This window comes from Homo sapiens, chromosome 21, assembly GCF_000001405.40.
Source record: "Homo sapiens chromosome 21, GRCh38.p14 Primary Assembly".
Taxonomy (NCBI): Eukaryota; Metazoa; Chordata; class Mammalia; order Primates; family Hominidae; genus Homo; species Homo sapiens.
This window is the reverse complement of record NC_000021.9, coordinates 16,375,921-16,398,348: the sequence shown is the minus strand read 5'-3', so window position 1 is coordinate 16,398,348 and position 22,428 is coordinate 16,375,921. Positions and strand designations below refer to the sequence as shown.

At 38.5% G+C, this 22,428-nt stretch overlaps 1 long non-coding RNA gene across 9 annotated transcripts in view; it reads right to left on the bottom strand.

Moving 5' to 3' along the window:
• MIR99AHG (mir-99a-let-7c cluster host gene) overlaps window positions 1-22,428 on the bottom strand; it is a 561,240-nt gene that overhangs the window by 233,379 nt on the left and 305,433 nt on the right. For 8 of the 9 annotated variants that reach the window (NR_136541.1, NR_136542.1, NR_111005.2 and 5 more), the window contains one exon: window positions 6,664-6,735. The exons of the other annotated variant lie outside the window; for it this stretch is intronic. This is a non-coding gene — a long non-coding RNA (mir-99a-let-7c cluster host gene). The remainder of the gene's footprint in view (window positions 1-6,663; window positions 6,736-22,428) is intronic. 9 annotated transcript variants of the gene reach the window in all.

Below are 22,428 nucleotides of genomic sequence, written 5' to 3'. Positions count from 1 at the left end.
AATACACCCTCCCTGCCCTTGTGATAATGTACTTTGTGATATTCCCCTGCCCTTAAGAAGGTACTTTGTGATATTCCCCCGCCCTTAAGAAGGTACTGTGTGATATTCCCCCGCCCCTAAGAAGGTACTTTGTGATATTCCCCCGCCCTTAAGAAGGTACTTTGTGATATTCCCCCGCCCTTAAGAAGGTACTTTGTGATATTCCCCCGCCCTTAAGAAGGTACTTTGTGATATTCCCCCGCCCTTAAGAAGGTACTTTGTGATATTCCCCCGCCCTTAAGAAGGTACTTTGTGATATTCCCCCGCCCTTAAGAAGGTACTTTGTGATATTCCCCCGCCCTTAAGAAGGTACTTTGTGATATTCCCCCGCCCTTAAGAAGGTACTTGTGATATTCCCCCGCCCTTAAGAAGGTACTTTGTGAGATCCACCCCCTGCCCACAACAAATTGCTCCTAACTCCACCGCCTATCCCAAACCTGTAAGAACTAATGATAATCCCACCACCCTTTGCTGACTCTCTTTTCGGACTCAGCCCGCCTGCACCCAGGTGATTAAAAAGCTTTATTGCTCACACAAAGCCTGTTTGGTGGTCTCTTCACATGGATGTGCGCGACATTTGGTGCCAAAACCCGAGAATGGTTCTAAATGGCCAGAAAATGACACTTTTGATTTCTCCATCCTACAAGATCTAGATAATTTTGTCGAAAAATGGGCAAATGGTCTGAGGTGACTGACATCCCGGCATTCTTTCACACATCGGTCCCTCCCTAGTCTCTGCTCCCAGTGCGACTTGTCCCACATCTTTCTTCTTTCTCTTCTGTCTGTTCCTTCAGTCCCAACCCCAAGCGTCACTAAGTCTTTTGAATCTTCCTTTTCTACCCACCCATCTGACCTCTCCCCTTCTTCCCACACTGCTCCTCCTCAGGTCGCTCCCTGCCAGGCTGAATCAGGCTCCAGCTTTTCTTGAGCTTCCGCTCCCCTACCCTACAACCCCTCTATCACCTCCCCTGCCACACCCAGTCTGGCTTACAGTTTCATTCCATGACGAGCCCTCCCCTACCTGCCCAACAATTTCCTCTTAAAGAGGTGGCTGGAGCTAAAGGCATAGTCAAGGTTAATGCTCCTTTTTCTCTATCAGACCTTTCCCAAATCAGTTAGTGTTTAGGCTCTTTTCCATCAAATATAAAAACCCAGCCCAGTTCATGGCCCGTTTGGCAACAACCCTTAGATGCTTTACCGCCCTAGACCCAGAGGGGCCAGAAAGCCATCTTATTCTCAATATGCGTTTTATTACCCAATCTGCTCCTGATACTAGAAAAAGCTCCAAAAATTAGATTCCAGCCCTCAAACCCCACAATAGGACTTAATTAACCTCGCCTTCAAGGTGTACAATAATAAAAAAGAGTCAGCCAAGTGGCAACATATTTCTGAGTTGCGATTACTTGCCTCTGCCGTGAGAGAAACCCTAGCCGTATCCCCAGCACACAAGACCTTCAAATTGCCTAAACCGCAGAGGACAGGCGTTCCTTCAGGACCTCCTCCCCCAGGATGTTGCTCCACGTGACGGAAATCTGACCACTGGGCCAAGGAATGCCAGCAGCCTGGGATTCCTCCTAAGCTGCGTCCCATCTCTGCGGGACCCCACTGGAAATTGGACTGTCCAACTATCCCAGCAGCCACTCCCAGAGCCCCTGGAACTCTGGCCCAAGGCTCTCTGACTCCTTCCCAGATCTTCTTGGTTCAGCAGCTGAAGACTGATGCTGCCCGATCGCCTCGGAAGCCTCCTGGACCATCACAGATGCTTTGGGTAACTCTTACAGTGGAGGGTAAGTCTGTCCCTTTCTTAATCAATACGGAGGCTACCCACTCCACATTACCTTCTTTTCAAGGGCCTTTTCCCTTGCCTCCGTAACTGTTGTGGGTATTGACAGCCAGGCTTCTAAACCTCTTAAAACTCCCCAACTCTGGTGCCAACTTGGACAATACTCTTTTAAGCACTCCTTTTCAGATATTCCCACCTGCCCAGCTTCCTTATTAGGTCGAGACATTTTAGCCAAATTATTTGCTTCCCTGACTATTCCTGGGCTACAGCCACACCTCAATAACCTCCCTTCACAACCCATCATTCTGTTCTGGTTCTCAAATATGCTTCCTTTACTATTCTTTTCCATCCTTCATCCCAGCCTCTCTTCGCTTTCACTTGGACTGATCCTGACACCCATCAGGCTCAGCAAATTACCTGGGCTGTACTGCCGCAAGGCTTCACAGACAGCCCCCGTTACTTCAGTCAAGCCCTTTCTCATGATTTACTTTCATTCTGTCCATCTGCTTCTCACCTTATTCAATATTTTCACGACCTTCTACTTTATAGCTGCCCCCCCCCACCAAAATCTTCTCAACAGGACACCCTCCTGTTCCTCTAACATCTATTCTCAAAGGGATATCACATATTCCCCTCCAAAGCACAAATTTCTTCCTCATCGGTTACCTATCTCGGCATGATTCTTCATAAAAACACACGTGTTTTCCCTGCTGATCATGTCCAGCTAATCTCCCAAACCCCAACCCCTTCTACAAAGCCACAGCTCCTTTCCTTCCTAGGCATGGTTAAGTACTTTCACCTTTGGATACCTGATTTTGCCATCCTGACTAAACCATTACATAAACTCACAAAAGGAAACCTACCTGGCCCCATAGATCCTAGATCCTTTCCCCACTCCTCTTTCCATTCCTTAAAAACAGCCCTAGAAGCTGCTCCCACACTAGCTCTCCCTAACTCATCCCAACCCTTTTCATTACACACAACCAAAGTACAGGACTGTGCAGTCGGAATTCTTACACAAGAGCTGGGACCGTGCCCTATAGCCTTTCTATCCAAACAACTCAACTTCACAATTCTGGGCTGGCCCTCATGTTTGTGCCATTTAAATACTTCTAGAGGCCATCAAAAATCACAGGCTATGCTCCACTTACCCTTTACAGCTCTCACAACCTTCAAGCATTAATATCCTCCTCATACCTTTCACATTTATTGTCTGCCCCCCAACTCCTCCAGCTCTATTCACTCTTTGTTGAAACTCCAATAGTAACTATTACCCATGGGCCTGATTTCAACCCAGCTTCTCATTTAGCACCCAACACAAGTCCTGAACCACATGACTGTATTTCCCTAACACACATAGGATCTTCTCCCTTTCCTCATATTTCTAATCTTCCCATTCCAAACCCGGACCACACTTGGTTTATTGATGGCGGTTCTTCTAAACCCAATCAATTTTCACCAGCTAAAGCTGGATATGCTGTCATGTCCCACACCTCTATTATTGAAGCTGCTGCACTTCCTCCCTCCACCACTTCCCAACAAGCCAAACTGATTGCTTTAACTCGTGTGCTCTCTCTAGCTAAAGGAATGCACATTAACATTTATACTGACTCCATATATGCTTTCCACATCCTCCATAACCATGCTGCCATCTGGGTCAAAAGAGGCTTCCTTACCACACAAAGCTCTTCCACTAATAATGCCTCCCTAATAGAGGCCCTTAAGGTTGTTCTCCTGCCAGCCAAGGCTGGAATCATTCATTGTAAAGGACACCAGAAACCTACTGATCTTATTGCAAAAAAAAAATAACCAATGCCTCCACACCCGCTAATATTCCAGCCCCCACTCCGGAGGGCCAGTATTTTTTTTTCTCCTCTATCACTCCCACCTACTCTTCTTCTGAAAACCTGCTCTACCAGTCTTTTCCAACTCAGGGCAAGTGGTTCTTAGATCATGGAAAACTCATCCTTCCTGCCTCACAAGCTCAGTCCATTCTTTCGTCTTTTCATAACCTCTTCCATGTAAGTTACAAGCCACTAGCCCGCCTCTTAGAACCTCTCATTTCCTTTAAGACATTTGCCCTGCATTTCACTCCATCCTTAGCTACCTTCCCCTTGTTCTTTGGACTCTCCTCTTAGCCCCTCCTCTTGCTTGCTTATACCCAGCCCCATGAATAGCAGTGAACGGTTACTCGTAGACACTTTGTACTTTCTCATACACCATAAAAATCAAACCTCCCCTTCTACCCAGTTGCTCCATCAATCCCCATTACAACCTCTAACGGCTGCTGCCCTTACTAAATCCCTAAGAGTCTGGGTGCAAGACACCTGTTTTGGTGCTCCCTCTTGTCTTTTCACTTTACATTTCCAGTTTTGCCTTACAAAGTTCTCTTCTTGGACATGAACAGACACTTCTCAAACGAAGACATTTATGCAGCCAAAAAACACATGAAGAAATGCTCACCATCACTGGCCATCAGAGAAATGCAAATCAAAACCACAATGAGATACCATCTCACACCAGTTAGAATGGCAATCATTAAAAAGTCGGGAAACAACAGGTGCTGGAGAGGTTGTGGAGAAATAGGAACACTTTTACACTGTTGGTGGGACTGTAAACTAGTTCAACCATTGTGGAAGTCAGTGTGGCGATTCCTCAGGGATCTAGAACTAGGAATACCATTTGACCCAGCCATCCCATTACTGGGTATATACCCAAAGGACTATAAATCATGCTGCTATAAAGTCACGTGCACACGTATGTTTATTGCACTATTCACAATAGCAAAGACTTGGAACCAATCCAAACGACCAACAATGATAGACTGGATTAAGAAAACGTGGCACATATACACCATGGAATACTATGCAGCCATAAAAAATGAGAAGTTCGTGTCCTTTATAGGGACATGGATGAAATTGGAAATCATCATTCTCAGTAAACTATCGCAAGGACAAAAATCCAAACACCGCATGTTCTCACTCATAGGTGAGATTTGAACAATGAGAACCCATGGACACAGGAAGGGGAACGTCACACTCTGGTGACTGTTGTGGGGTGGGGGGAAGGGGGAGGGATAGCATTAGGAGATATACCTAAAGCTAAATGACGAGTTAATGGGTGCAGCACAGCAGCATGGCACACGTATACATATGTAACTAACCTGCACATTGTGCACATGTACCCTAAAACTTAAAGTATAATAATAATAATAATAATAATAATAAAAAAGATGTCTTCCTCCTCTGTGGCTCCTTCACCTACATGTGTCTACCTATTAATTAGACAGGCACATGTACACTAGTTAGCCTTACCCCCAAAATCAATTTGCAAATAGGACCGAACAGCTTCCTGTTCCCCTCATGACACTAACACTTTACTTCTATTTTGTTTTTTTATTATTATTATTAATATAAGAAAACAGGAACAGGCCTTGACTTACTCACTGCTGAAAAAGGAAGACTCTGTGTATTTTTAAATGAAGAGTGTTGTTTTTACCTAAATCAGTCTGGCCTGGTATATGACAACATAAAAAAATGCAAGGATAGAGCCCAAAAACTCATCAAACAAGCAAATAATTAGGCTGAACCCCCTTGGGCACTCTCTAGTTGAATGTCCTGGGTCCTCCCAATTCTTAGTCCTTTGATACCTGTTTTTCTCTTTCTCTTACTTGGCCCTTGTGTCTTCCAATTAATCTCTCAATTCCTACAAAACTGCATCCAGACTATCACTAATCACTCTATATGACAAATGCTGCTTCTAACAACCCCACAATATCACCCCTTACCCCAAAATCTTTCTTCAGTTTAATCACTCCCACTCTAGGTTCCCACACTGCCCCTAATCCTGCTCAAAGCAGCCCTGAGAAACATCGCCCATTATCTCTCCATACCACCCGCAAAAATTTTTGCCACCCCAACACTTCACCACCATTTTGTTTTGTTTTTCTTATTAACAGAAGAAGACAGGAATGTCAGGCCTCTGAGCTCAAGCTAAGCCATCATATCCCCTGTGACCTGCATGTATACATCCAGATGGCCTGAAGCAACTGAAGATCCACAAAAGAAGTGCAAATAGCCAGGTCCTGCCTTAGCTGACGACATTCCACCATTGTGACCTGTTCCTGCCGCACCCTAACTGATCAATTGACCTTATGACAATACACCCTCCCCGCCCTTGCGATAATGTACTTTGAGATATTCCCCTACCCTTGAGAAGGTACTTTGTGATATTTCCCCACCCTTGAGAAGGTACTTTGTGATATTCTCCCACCCTTGAGAAGTTACTTTGTGATATTCCCCCACCCTTGAGAAGGTACTTTGTGATATTCCCCCACCCTTGAAAAGGTACTTTGTAATACTCTCCCTGCCCTTGAGAATGTACTTTGTGAGATCTACCCCCTGCTCCTAACTCCACCGCCTATCCCAAACCTATAAGAACTAACGATAATCCCACCACACTTTGCTCACTCTCTTTTCAGACTCAGCCCACCTGCACCCAGGTGATTAAAAAGCTTTATTGCTCACACAAAGCCTGTTTGGTGGTCTCTTCACATGGACGTGCGTGACATTAATCACATAAGCAACCTTAATTTTCCCTAATTAAAAATTAGAGTAAAATCACCTGCCATGAGTGATAGCCAAGTATCTTTTACACCAAGTTTATCAAAATAAGCTTTTAGGAGTGGAACAATTTTGATCAACTGTGTTAATATTTCAGAACTGCTTGCAACAGTGACTACCATAAGTATGCATTTTTCTATGCATGCAACTTACAAGTGATAACTGCCCAATGGAGCACTAGAAATGTGGTCACATTGATCTTTTTTGCAAGTCACTTACCATATTGTGTATTCCATTCTCTTCTTGTTCAAATCTTGACATTGAGAATTCTCTTCATCTCAGAAAGAGCTCCTGAAAAGTATTTTTAGATTATAAAAGATTGCATTTATGCATACACATACATTTCCCCTAAATAATGATCCATATCTTTTAGATATTTGCAATATTTATTAAGAGTTACAGGTCCAGAAACAATCAGCAACTTAGTAGATTATCTCTAAGCACACTTGATTTTTACTGAATGCTGTCGAGGCATCAAAATGTACATATTCACCTTTAAAAAGTGTTAACTTTGCATTTATTGTTTCATCCGCAGGGCTAACAGCTGGGTATTACTGTTGTTTTTGTTGTTGTTGTTTTAAGCGACTATCTGAGGTGTTAAGAGGTCCTAATTAAGTAAATTTAACAAACACAGCATTAAGTTTCAAAATCGAAGTGTTAGAACAGATACCTGTTTGATCTGCAGGTAACTAATGAGAGCAACAGTACATCACAAACACCTTTGATGTTATTCCTGCCTCAGCATATTTGGTTTGATAAAAAATATCTCACTCAAGTAACTGCCCAACATATTGCCCTGAGAGACCGAGAGAGAATTAACGATTTAATTCTAGTTTTTCCTGCCCTTGTTTTGCAAATAAATGAAGACATGGATGGATGGGTTTTTTGAAACACCAATGATCTGTGTTACAGTGTAGCATTATCATTCCTGGGAGGAGCATGCCGTTTACAGGGCTGAATCACAAAACACAACACAACAACAACAAAGCAGGGATGAGTTATTTCAGGCCAATTCACAAATCATTATAGAAATAAGGTAATGAGCGGCCGGGTGTGGTGGCTCATGCCTGTAATCCCAGCACTTTGGGAGGCTGAGGCGGCCGGATCACGAGGTCAGGAGATCGAGACCATCCTGGCTAACAAGGTGAAACCCCACCTCTACTAAAAATACAAAAAATTAGCCGGGCATGGTGGCGGGCGCCTGTAGTCCCAGCTACTCAGGAGGCTGAGGCAGGAGAATGGTGTGAACCTGGGAGGCGGAGCTTGCAGTGAGTGGAGATTGCACCACTGCACTCCAGCTTGGGCGACGGGGCGAGACTCTGTCTCAAAAAAAAAAAAAAAAAGAAAGAAAGAAAGAAGGTAATGACCGACTTACAAGTTCCACAAAGATCGCTTGAGAGACTTACATTCTGATGAGGAAAACAATACAGACATGTCTACAACTAATGATGAAACACGATGCAATGAAGTTAATTACATGAGAGTTCTTTCATTCTTTCTGAATTGAATAGGGTAGGTATCACTGAGATAGAACTCAAGCTGTACCTAAATGAAAAATTATCATGTTCAAACATAAAGTGACAGAGGGAGAGAATAGTCCAGATTAAAAGAATAATATGGTTTAGGAGGCAGAGGACAAGTGGGATGGGAGAACCTAAACACTGAATTTAACTTCAGCCCAAATCAGGGAGTGAGAGTAGGAGAAATAAATTGATGTTTATAAGGGGAACTAATAATCTCAGTTTAGTGCCTAGTTGAATCTGTAGTACCTATGGGAAATTCAGAACAAAAAGTTCAGGATGAATATGCAAATTCAAGGTAAAGATTGAGTCAGTTGCACGAAGGTGATAACTGAAGTTTTGGGAGCATTTGAGCATTCTCTAAACACGGCATGGTTGGAGAATAAACCTGTGGAATGCCTATATTTGAAAAGACAAGCAGCAAAAATGAGAATAGAAGATATGTTTGGAGAAGCAGCAAGGGAACCAAGAGATAATGTTTGTCAGATGTTACAAGAGGGTAAGAATTTCACTGAAAAAGAAAGTGGCCAGCATTGTCAATGATGCACGCAAGTAGCAGATTTAGCTTAGAAAGTCATTTGCACTTCTTGAGGGAGCAAAGCAGTCTCATGAAGTGGTAGGGAAAGAAATCAGATTGCAAATTGATTAGGGTAAATTAGTCAAGGCAGGAATTGGTCAAAATGAATAAGGAAGTTAGTGAAAAAGCAGAGTCTGGAAACTTTGAGAGAGAGGCACACTGGAAAATGAAAGAAGGAAAGCAAGTGTGTCAAAGAATTAACACATTGGTTTAACAGTATCACATTTTAATGTGATTTCTCTGCGCTATTCATTAAAGAGGTACACCAATCAAGCCTGATTTTCTAACCAGGATAATTAATGGATAACTTGAAACAATTAAATTTCAACATTTCAAGTTGTCTAATACTCCTACCTAGTAGTCACTAAGAAAGAAAATGGATAACTTGTGTGGTTTAAAAAAAAAAAAAGACTGTGATGATTAATTTTAGGTGTCAACTTTATTGGATTAAAGACTACCTGGAGAGCTAGTAAAGCATTAGTTCTGGGTGTGTCTAGTAGGATGTTTCCAGAGAAGATTACTGTGTGAGTCGGTGGAGTGGGTGGAGAAGATCCACCCTCAATATAGGTGGAAAAGGCAGAGGAAAGGTAAATTCTCATTCCCTCTCTCTCCTGGAGATAGGACACCCCTCTTCTCCTGACCTGGTGTCAGAGGCTTTCAAACCAGAGTGACTCCATCATGAGTGAGGGCTAGGGAAATGAGGCTGGGACTTGTTGGGCTGCATTCCCAGGAAGTTAGGTATTCCTAGCCTCTAGATGTTTACGGGCAAGGGAACAGATTGATAATGTTTACTAAACAGACCCAGACTTAGGAGTGTCCTGATATCCTGTTATCTTGAGAAAAGAAGCATTCCTAATTTTGCTTTAAAGATCATAATACTGATTCTTGCAAAATATACTAATTAAGAAAATTAATCCTTTATCACAAACCCTAGTAGCAGAGCACAGGTCCCCATGATTTTTTTTTATACTATACATAAACAAGTATTGTATCTAGTGTGGATGCATTTCTCCTCTTACTTTCAGGAACACCCTACTCTATCTATGGAGTAGCTGTACTTTCACCACTTTACTATTAATAAACTTGAAAGCTTTGCACTGTGGACTCACCCTGAATTTTTTCTTGCACAAGATCCAAGAACCCTCTTTTGGGGTCTGGATCAGGACCCCTTTCCTATAACACTCCGACACCAAAAATTCCAGGCTCTCCAGCATTTGGACCCTGGTATTTGCATCAGAGGCTCCTCAGGTTTTCAGGACTTCAGCCTCAGACTGAGAGTTCCACCCTCGACTTCGCTGATTCTGAGGATTGAAGACTTGCACTGAGTCACGCTACAGGCATCCCAGGATCTCCAGCTTGCAGGTGGCCTGTGATGGGACTTCTCAGCCTCCATAATCACATGAGCCAATTCCCCTAACAAATTACCTCTCATATATCTATCTACATATATACCTTATTGATTTTGTTTCTCTGGAGAATGCTAATATAAATAACTTCACATTTTAAAAATATTTTTTGATAAAGGATGTATACTCGTGAACAGAGGCTTACAAAGCTCTGAAACTCAATCTCATTATAAATCTTTCCAAAGACTATTATAGGACAAATCATCAGGAAAGGGGAAAATAAGATATTTCTGCCTTTTTTTTTTTTTAGACGCTAAAACATGCATTTTTTCACATGGAAAGTAATGATGCAAGTCAACAAAGCATTTGGGAAACAAATGCTTTCCACACAAGTAATCTTCAGAAATATGCCTAAGACTATTTTTCAAAGGATATAATGGCTACTTACATAGCAGACAACCTGAAATTGATGTTCTACAAAATAACTGGATAACGCTCTTGATAAATATCAAATTCTCGACGCACAAAGAAAGATTGAAGAAATATCAGATTGGAGGCAAAGTGCCTGACAGCTACCTGCAATGTTGGATCAGGGATTGGATCCTAGACTGAGGAAATAAGTCCTCAGGGAGACAACTAAGGAAACTTAAGTAGGTCTACAGATGAGTTAATAGGATGGTTTCAATGTTAATCTTTTGTTTTCAATATCTGTTCCCTGATTATGTAAGATGTTAACCTTTAAGGAAGCTGCTTAAAAACTGTAAGGAAATTTCTGTACTACTTTTGAAACTTTTTCATAAGTCTGAAATTATTTAAAAGTTTATTTTAAAGAATTCTAACTTAGGAATAAAATGGATGAAGAACAATTATCTGGAAAGAATAAGGAGAGCCAAAATTAACAATGTAATTGTAGGTGTCATATTGCTTTGAAATTTTTTTTTTTTTTAATTTTGACCAGTTGAAAAATGGCCAAAACCAAGTGACAACAAGAAAATGTACCAATAATGCCAGGATCCTCAAGAAATAAATTCTTTGTTTACATGTGAAGTAGCCAGAGTATATCTTAGTAAATAAATTAAAAAAAAAAAACTCAAAATGTGATTTTCAACCTGCATTTTCATGTGACTCCCCTAGTGTAAAAGAAATGGTCAAGGCCAATTTTTAAGTTGCCATGCCGTATGATTTTGCATTTCTACTCCGTGAAAGACACTAGTTATCATAAGCAAAACGTCGTCTGTGATTATGAAAACGTTGGTGGAATATTATACGTGTTTCCCAGTAACAGTATTTCATAGAATCTGTTATGACAAAGAGGCAAGCAAAGTCCCGTTTAGACACAGAGAAAAGAGGAAACATTTCGATTACCTCAGCACAGCCTGGACAAACAGCTGTCACCATGGTGAGAATGAGGAAAGGTGTGAGGGAGGAAGGGTCATTTGAAGGTAGCACAGAATTATGAAGGGCACTGATTGAGGCATAAAGGAGAAGGACATTTTAGGAAGAGAAAAAGGCTAAGCAGAGGCATAGGATAGAAAATGACAGGGTTGTTTTGATTATCTAATTCCAATGAAAGATGGAGGAGCTCCAAAGCTGGAATTTCATTGAGTGATAGGATGTGAGGAAAACACTTTGGAGTCTAAAGAGCCTTAAGGCTCCCAAAAAATTATGTGTTGCAAATAAACACGAAGCCCTCCCACATTTAAGACCAGTTATATTGAATGCTGCTTAATGCATTTCTGTCTCCAAATTCAGCAAAGTTCCATAGAATCCAATATATGAAATGCTTGCTTTAGTTGCCATTTCCAAAGTAGTGCTGGCAAATTTCCAAGTGCGGAACTTAAAATAATGCTCTAAGTGCATTGCTGTGTATGTGGCCAATTATTATTCACCTGCAGACTTCTTAAAAGGTCAATAATTCAAGAACCTAAACCAGTATCAAATTGTCCACAAGGTTATACAACACTGAAAAACGCTGTTAACTGGATATGGATTTCATTCTCACAGAAATTGCTAAGGTGTTTTAGCAGCATTTGCTTCCCGAAATGCTAGTCTCAGAATATGTTAATTGGTCTGATGTAAATGTAATTGGTCTGATGTAAATATGTAATTGGTCTGTCAGTAAATACATTTGGTAAACATTGGGTTAAGCAAGGTTAATCAGATTTCTTTGCTGTAGAAGATATTAAAACCTTGAAAGGCCGGGCGCGGTGGCTCACGCCTGTAATCCCAGCACTTTGGGCAGCCAAAGTGGGCAGATCACCTGAGGTCAGGAGTTCGAGACCAACCTGACCAACATGGCAAAACCCCATCTCTACTAAAAATATAAAAATTAGCCGGTTATGGTGGGGTGCCTGTAATCCCAACTACTCGGTAGGCTGAGACAGGAGAATCACTTGATCCCAGAAGGTGGAGGTTGCAGTGAGCCGAGATTGTGCCATTGCACTCCAGCCTGGGTGACAGAGCAAGACTCCATCTCAAAACAACACAAAACAAAAAAACAAAAAACAAACAAGCAAAAAACCTTGAAACAATGAATGAGAAATAAGGTATTTAATGAAGAGGGAGATAAGATGCACTGTCACACAAACCCAGCAGAAATCTAGTGATAAAAGTGTTCTAGAACACACACTTTGGAAAACTGTGAACCAACTGCATGTCTTCTTGGCCTCATTTTAAATATATCAGACATTTGACGGAATAGCTTGTCCAAATATTCATGAAGAAAGAGAAAATTTCTTCTAAACAACTAGATTTCTGCATACTTGTTATTGTCATTACAACGTTTCCAATTAATGCCGTCTGTGGGAAAATCTTCTCTACTTGAGAACATGTCTCTTAAAGTAGAAATTGGTGAGGAAAAAAAATCATAAATAGATATGTCCTTTTCTGCCAATTTCTTCAGGGAACAAAAGCTAGTTAGTTAACTGGAAGCCTGAATTTTATTCATCTTATAATATAATTAAATCACTTAAAATAATCAGTTAGATGACAATCAAACACTGCAATAGGAAATCAAAAGCAAATCACTAGATCAGTTTCAAAAAGTATAAGAAATAGAACAGTAGTTTGAAGATATTTATATATTTCACAGTTTTCTCGGTCCTACTACATGCCAGCCATAACATGTACATCCATGAAAAATGACTGTATAATGTCAACACTTTGGAATTGGTTCAGACTTTCAGATATTAGAAGCTAAAAAACAGAATAGATATCTATGCCAATCATGTTATGGTTCTCTGGCTTGAGAAGTGAAAAGCATATAAATGTCTAACACTAGAATCTGGGGCAGCAGAAAGAGTGATACTCAACCAAAAACATTAACATTTCAAACTTAATTTCAAAATGTCAGTACATAGTCATCAGATTGTTTCTCTGAGAAGTTAAATTTTGTGATTGTAATAGGGATTGAGATTAAAGCTATTTATCATATCTACCATCATATTTATTACATTTCTTAATCATGCAAGTGTTAATTAAAGTTTTCTTGGTACTTTCGTCAGGCTGCTTACATAATAATTTTCAGTTTACAGCCATCTCAACTGACAAACAGTGAGATTATCCCTTCTCAAGTGGATGATAAGAATTGCCAGTCATGGGACAGACACCATACACTCTTCAAAGGAAATCAAGATGTATGTTTTAATATAACTTTTCATTTGGGGGATTTATCAGCATCCAAAAGCACCTCTTTTTCTTACAGAGTTCTGGAGTTAGATCCTCCCACACAAATAAATTACTTAATTGGGGTAGTCACCTCTTGTCCAGAAGTGACATGTTTTAGAAAGATGTGAGTCTTGAGGCAAGTGCTGGATTTGATTGTTCTTACTCCTAATAAGAATGTACCTAACTTCACTCCAACTATCTCTAAGTTGCTATTACATTATTTTTTCTCACGATTTTTGTTAATCTTCACTCTCCACAATACTCAGCAAACTCATGAGGAAGAAAGATTGTTTGTCAGAGTATGTATACAAAGTTTTTAGTAAAGATTAATGATCAGAATTATATAATACTTGATTTCAAAATATTGGAATGGTTAGATATAATATTATTTAGAGTACAAAAATAACAGGTTTGCTAAAGCAAAATTAGTCCTTTTTTCTTCTCTGAGCAATAAGTGTTTGCCTCTTCCTCGATACTCCCTACCTTGAAAGGGAAGTACTAGCCTTATGTGGCAGCCACCTGCAGTGAAGAAAACAGCCTTCAGTTTCCCCGCCTGGAAGGTTCTTCCCCCAGATATAGATGATATTAGCCTCATGTCTTCCAAGTTGTTACTCAAGAATTATCTCTTCAGGGAAGTTCTCACCAACTACCACCAACTACCCTACCTACAATTGTTATTAACCTCCTGGGCTCAAATGGGTCCTCCCACTTCAGCCACCCAAGTAGCTGGGACTAGAGGTGTGTGCCTGGATAATTTTCGTACTTTTTTGTTGGTACAGACAGGGTTTCACCATGTTGCCCAGGTCTTGAATCCCTTGGCCTAAGCGATCCATCCACCTCAGCCTCCCAAACCGCTGGGATTACAGGCATGAGCCACTGTACCCAGCATCTCTTTATTATTAATCATTATCAACACACTGTATACTTTAGCTACTTATATTATTTATTACCTACTTACATAATTAAAATGTAGGCTCCACAAAGATAAGGAGTTTTGTCTTTTTCTTTTAGTTCTATATCACCAGCACCTAAGACAGTCCATGGCTCATAACAGGTACTCAATAAATAATCATTGAATGACTAAATCATCATCATTATAAAAAAAATCGCTTCTATGTATACAGATAATTCTGCTAGTTGGTGCACTTTGTTAAATAATTACATACCCAAAGCCCTTTAAAAAGTTCAACAGAAATTACATACCCAAAGCCCTTTAAAAGTTCAACAGAAATTATTAAATTATTAAATGCTGACATAGGGAGATGTCAGCACTGGACAATCAATAAAATGGATAAACAATAAAATGAATATTGGACAATCAATAAAATGTGATAAAATATGCATTACGATGAATGAATGTTCATGTAACGTGTAAAAACAACTAAAATAAAACACCTTAAAAAAGAATAGTAAAACAAAATGGATATTGAAAGAAAACATTAACAGTCTGTGTTATATCTATACCCCTCTAAATTTTAAACACAGGCTCACCTTTTTTCAATTTCTTTTTCTTCATAAGTCCCAATAAGCACTCTCAAATTGGTCATCTAGTTATTACATTCTTTATCCAGGTTTTATATTAATTTGCTATTATTTTATTTTATGGCTCTTGTCTTTTCAACTTGGTTGTAAGTTTCTGGAAGGCAAGATCACACACAACAGTGGCCCTACAGCATCTAACTCAGGAGTAAATGCACTGCCAACTTTGATTACATATGTGTTGACTGATTGATTGACTCATGTATGGTATCAAATATAGAATCTATAGATATTGACATATGGTATTACATATAGTATCTATAGAAGTAAGTCTCTGTCACCTTCAAGTCAATGAGCTCTACAGAATGACACTAAGGAAACAAGCAAAAGACATGAGCACTTCCAGCACTTACTCTACAATAATATGTCATTTAGGATATCATGAGAAGTTCTAATTTAAAAGTTGAAGGAGAAGTCACATTTTACAAACAAAGGACACACAACTATGGAACCAAAAGCACTATCTTGGAAGCAATTTTCAAAGACATTTAATTTTTTTATATATCGAATATCAAAATTAGGAAAATGATATTCGACATCATTAATACTTGCACAATATGAAATTTACTTAAAGAAACTTTATTGTCAAACATTTGGGTTATTCTTAAATTTTTGTTATATGTAAGTTTATAATGTACTTTAGCTAAATATCTGTATGATCATAGAATTTGTTCGTTCATAATTTTTTTCCTCATCGTATGTTGAGTAGCTTCCATGCTTAGGCTTGGACTTCCAAAAGGCCAATGAGTCACACTTGGGAAGTCTGCAGCACAGTTTAAACATGTGATTATATTAGAATCCTGAGAGCACTCTGATTTTTTACCAGGAGCGACGATTCTTGCAGTGGATTTAAAATACAAAACATATGATGCAGTTTCCAACGGATGATATAAAACCATTACCAGGGACATGCTACTTTTTCCTGAAAGAGAATTTGTGAAGTCCTCAAATAGCAATGAGATACAATTTCTTGAAATAATGATATTTAATATACTTATATTTGGAATAGCACCATGAAAATCATAAAACACCTGCCTTTCACTCAAAAACAGTTCTCTGCTAATTAAATTCAAAACGTGAAGGAATTAAGCTTACTTCCAAAATTATCTCCTTAGCCAAAAGTTTTGGAGAATAATCTAAACATTGTTCAGGGCCACCGGAGTCTGACAGTCAAAGAGAGAAATCAGACTAAAATGGTAAGGATATTTATCAATAGCAAAAATTGCTTACCAAAACATAAAACAGAAACTGATATGAAAGCTGCATTTAAGTCATGACCGATTTGAAAAGAGTTGTGACTATTTAAAATATGTAAACCATCTTGAATGTTAGTTATTCAGCAATAAATGCCGAGTAGTTAGGCATTTAAAGATTTTAAGATGGTCAATATTTTTATTGGCATGTTTAAAATGCTCTCTTTTTAATTAAGGAATGCAACTTTAAAGGCTAAGAGTAGAATGAATGGAGCTATATTAAGTTTTGAGCCACTTTTAAAAATGTCATATCTACTCATATAATTTCATTTAACACAAATTTAATTATATACATATATTTTTAAAAATTTTACTAGCAGTTTATTAAGTTTCATTAAAACATCACATTTGGATAATTAGTGAGATTGCATTGAGTAATAGATTAATGTACCATCTTTCAATCTGGGAACATGGTATGTCTTTTAATTGATTATATATGTTTAGTAGATGATATTTCAGCCAACTTTCAGCATAAAAAATCAAAGTCAAACAACAAAAATGTTAGTGTACCTAAAAGCCTTTCTGAGAACATACTACATGCAAGTAGATGAAACAAAATCCAGAATAATTTCATAGAAATCTTTCAGGATAGACAATCACTTGGAAACTACCTCTGCCATAAACAGGAGCAAGGGTACCTTCGGGAGGGGATTAAGTTAAAAGGGATGATGTCAATTTTTAGATCATACATTCATATTCCAGAGAGAATAAGAAATCGACATGTCCTATAAACATCTGTTCTAAATCCAGGTAAAATACATTTCAGAGAAACTTGTTTTGGTAACACAAGTTCCTGCTTTTCTCCCAATCAGAATGGTGGCACTCATAATCTCACATTTTAAAATTCAATTAAATCAGCTTTTAGCTATGTACCAAATATTGGTTGGAACACAGGTGAGATAGTTCTCTTTGCTGTATGTTTTACCCATCTTTTGTTTAGGAGGAAACAGTTTTTTAAGAAACAAATTATCTGTCACTTGACGTGTCTTCTTTTCTAATAGAAAAGGAGTTCTTTACTTAAAAAACTGCATTTACATTATTTGTATAAACTTCTAGCAGCTATGTACTTATTCACATAGACTAACCTTCAAAAATTATCTACAATTTGTTTTTACTTCACGCTGTCACCAGTTACCAATTTACAATGTATACTTTTAATCATTTAAGAACCATTTTATAGAGTTTATTCTTAACAAACATCAGTACAAATACCATCTATATCCCATATAAATATATTTTCAATAACTGAAATTACAACCTTTGGTGAGACATTACTCCTAAAAACAAATACATTTGGTAAATATATCTTATAAATTTACCTTAAAAGGTACTTTATGAGCAAAGTATGAGTATACATTACTATTAATGTGTACTATTAATAACTTTCCTACAACCAAACAATTTAAATTCAGTGTATCCAAGGTCATGATTTAGGGGGAAAAACACAAAAAGAACCTTTCAAATTTTTGCCATGTCCATATTGTTCAGAGGTATCTTTCTCAAAACATATTAAATTTTAACTTGTGGTATATATGCAAAGTGATCATTTCAATGTGAAAGAATTCTAGCATTTGCAAACAATAAAAGAACAGATTTTCTCATGTTGCAACATCAAAGCAACCAGCCATTTTGTCATACTGGATGCCCAAGGTTCAAAGGCTTAAATCGCCATATCCTCATGAGACCACCCGGCATTTACTTCTTTTAATATCTCTTGTTGAAAACATGACAGCGATGAGGCACAAAGCACCACAGTGCACTCTACTTTAAATGCCCCATCTTGTCATAATTGTTCTTTTTAAAGAGAAGAGTCCTTAATATATTAATGAGCACTATTGTGAAGTAGAAAAGCCTCACCACAAAGGATGGCCACGTCCCCTGAACTGATGCAGATTTCAGCTTAGAAACTAGAAGGGAATTGAAATACTTAAACAATCAATCAATAGTCACCTCTCCAAGAATGCTGTGAACCCGGGAGGTGGAGCTTGCAGTGAGCTGAGATCGTGCCACTGCACTCCAGCCTGGGTGACAGAGCGAGACTCCGTCTCAAAAAAAAAAAAAAAAAAAAAAAAAAAAAGTCACCTCTCCAAAAGCAGGACTGTTTAATAGTGAGAGAATAAAATATAAGTTTTAACTTGAAATCTTTGTTTAAAACAGTATTTTTAATTCATCAAAGTTCTCATCTCATTACTTTGTACAATACACTTAGTATAATTCACTAGGTATCATCTGGGTTCTGTATTATTTTCTTACATGTAAAACATGTACATGTGCCTGCCCCTTGTTGAGCTGGATATCACCAAGGACATTGGGCATAGCAAGAGGACCCACTGGGGACACAGAAACAAATCAGTGAAACAAACCGCAATTACTTTTGCACCAACCTGAAACATAGAAAAGGGAAATAATGCTTGTTTTGCTTTGTCTCCTAGTAGCTCCTGGCTAAATGTTTTATAAATATCATAAATGAAGGGATTAGTAGCAAACATTAAGACTAAAAAGTGACTAAATAGCTTTAAATAAATCTTAGTTAAAATTTTTTATGTATGCTTAGATTAAGTATTTAGAAAAGTATAAATAACTTAGTCTATCGTGTTTTCGTCTCAACTAATTTTTTTCAGTTATTTGTACAAAACCTCATCTCCATGACACTTTCTGTGCTGGGGTGCAGAATGTTCAGACAAAGTAGAACATTCCTCTTACAGATGCTGGTGGAACCAACGTTATCCCCGGAGAGGTATTATACATGTTCACGAGAACTTCTGATTCAACAATACTACAACAAAACCATGTCTCTATGGTCTCCATCACACAGTATCACCAAAAGCAGCTTTTATTAATTAGGTTGGGGTTAAAGTACATGTTCTCCTGAATGCACACAGCTCAATAACTGGATCAATGCAATTATCTTGAAAATGACTAGAAGCCATGAATACAAAGATAGAGGACATATACATAGCTATTAAAGTCTCTGACGGGTTTTTGTGAAAATAAATTGCTATAAAGTAAGCTATTACTGGTACTGGTACTTGCTAAACAAAGCAGAAATGGGACAGAAAAGAGAAAACAATATGAAAGTAATCACTGAGAGAACCACAAAATTCCAGGAAAAGTATTTGAAATTACTAGCAATGAGGAGTTGAAGGCTGGAGCAAAATGGCTCCTCTGAGTGGCACGCATAAGGAAAGTGTCTTTTCAGGAGACACTTCTAATTCTGTAGTCTATAGAGGAAGGAATGTCTTCTGCAGGGAGCTGCCCTTGCTCTTCCTCTGTTGACACACATACTTTCAGGAAGGTTAAATATAACTCCTTTCTGGAAAATATCCTATAACCTTCCCGAGAGAGTTAATGGCTCTTGTTCAATATTTTCAAGAATTTGGGTCATATGGCTGGATTGTAATTATTTACTCATTACTTTTTTCCCCCAAACCAGCACGTGCACTCTCTCAGGGTGAGAACTGTATTTTAATCATCTTAGCATTTATCAAGCCTAATCACAGTACAGTATTCAAATTTTTCCAATTTTGTGCTTAGAATAGACCTATGCATTTATTCTGTCTCTCCTTCAGAATTTTTAAGGATAATATTCTTTGTTCTCACACTAATTGCAACTATTTTAGACTACATCTGAATTATGTAGAATAAATATATTAAGGGCCTTTTATTTCCTTACCTCTTCCTAATAGGTAGAAAACCCAGACTTTAACTCTAACTAATGTACCTTATTTTTTGTAGGTACATGTCCTGGGTCCCTGTTCATGTTACGCAGTCTCTCTAATTGGAGATTAACATAGGGATGCACCTAGAAATGGTTATCACATCCTCTCTTTATTGTCTCTTAGCCATTTAAACCTTCCAGTTCTAGCTCTGACGTGTTAAAAAAATAAATAACACAATTAATGTAGCAGAGTTATTGTTAAACTTTCACATTACCAGAGTGAAGTCAGGATAATATGATTCCCAAAATAAACATTCTGGAATGACACTAAACTAAATGGGCAGGCTGTTGTAATTCTGTCATTGGACAAAAAATGACATTAACCACAAGTTAGCCTTCAGAATAGGAGTCTAAAAATAGCTGTTATCCTAACAAAATCAATGACTGTATACTTTTATATTTGAGTGTGTATTATATATATGTGTATGTATATACACACACATGCATTTGTATACATATTTGTGTGTATATGTGCACATATACATATATACACACATTTATGTTTTTGTATATATGTGTGTCTGTAAGTGTGTGTACACATGTACAATATACACTCAAATACAGACGTGTGTATGTTGGATCCCCACTTGGAAAGACACTCAAACAAGTCCTAATACAGGGTAGAAAGAGGGGAAATAGAATAAGAGAAAAGAACATTTTCTGCAAAAATTTAACAGCATGTAGAAAGCCAAAATCACAGACGGGGTTTGGTCTAGTGGGAGATTTTTTTTTCCCATTCATTCTGTATTCTTGACCTACAGACTGAGGGGTAGAGTGGAGAGGAGATGGTGAGAGAGGCTGCAGAGGGCTCTGACTGTTGATGCTGGACTGCCTCCTTCTTCTGGACACTGTGGCTTTCTCAGAGGTGGTGAAGGAGGAAACCCACAAAAGGGCAGGAATGGAACATAGTTGAGTCCTTTAAATCCTGGGAGCTCAGATGTGGTGGTGGCAGGCCACCATCTGCGGACCGTGGTTAGAGTGTTGGAGTGCCTGACTTCATCTGGTGGAGAGCCACAAAAGCGCCTCTGGTGAAGGCCCTGACTCGATGGCAGTGCATTCAAATGGCAGCATCCTGAGGTTTTGCCCATGGGCGTTAAATAAAGAGGAAAAATTCTCTCTGGTCTGCTACCAAATTTTTGGTACTTAAAATAACTAGTTTTCTCATCCTGAGAACTAATGACTTAAGGCAGTTATAAACAAAGTATCTGCTTGAAATTCAGAGTTTAGTCTGTATGGCTAGGGGGCAACCTTATTTAGCAGCACAAATTATGTCTAAATATGGAAAGAGACAGGTGGTCAGTGTAGAAAATTATACTGAAAGATCTTTTTCCCTTGGTTGACAGAGTTAGCTCTTTGAAAATGAGGGCGAGCTGGTCAGTTATCAGGGAAAGGTTGTTCAGGGACAGTGAGAAGACAGGGACATTCTTTAGACACTCTGGAATGCTCTCTAGAGGCGAGAAACAGGGTCTGGTTTTTGCTCTGCTAGGTTCTATTTTTAATCTTCTGTTACTTTGTTTTCCACAGTTATTCCAATAAAATAAAATAAATTGTGAATATAAACTTTGTTACTTGTTTTGTAATATTTGGTCACACAGTGTGTGTGGCCCCTAATAATTTTCCATAGCAAATATTCATTATCAGAAAAATGTAGTACAGACTTCTAAACTTCCTGAGTCCCCCTTGCCTCATGTATAAAAGGTGAATAATGATGATGCCAGCCATGAATGGTTGTTAAATCTGGTACTATGAATATATACTGTTATTAGGGAGAAGAATTTTGTTTTTCCAAAAGCATTTGGAATGGCCTGTGAATAATGAGTTTAACTCCCAAACAGTTAAATGTGGTTGGAAAAAGAAGAAAACAGAAATGTAATTATATTGTAACATTGAGCAGCAGCAACATACAACCTAAGACGGGTATAATTTAGATGTATCTAGTGTACTGTGTACCATTGCTGATGAAACTTGCAAGAAGGTGAAAGTAACATATTCTATACGTTCAAGCCTCATGCCTATCTTAGAGATTAAAAACCACAAGTCCTCAGAAGCAGTTTTATCTGGTGTTATATTGTTAAAGCAAGGCCTTAAGATATGATTGGTTTGGTTGCCTGGAGTATAAAATCAATACAACTGACAAGCAAGTTGGGAGGACTAGTCAGTCATAAACATTGGGGTTTATGGAAGATGTTTACTCTCTCAGTTACAAGTGAGGCTGAACAAATGGAGAACAGGAGAACAAATTCCAAGAGGCTGCATGAAATTCTACTTCCAGGGAAAGGCCAGGAAGCAAATCATTATCAAAGAAGAAGTTTTGTGTGCTTATATAATTATGACGCACTCACCAGGGCCACAAAAGACAGATGAA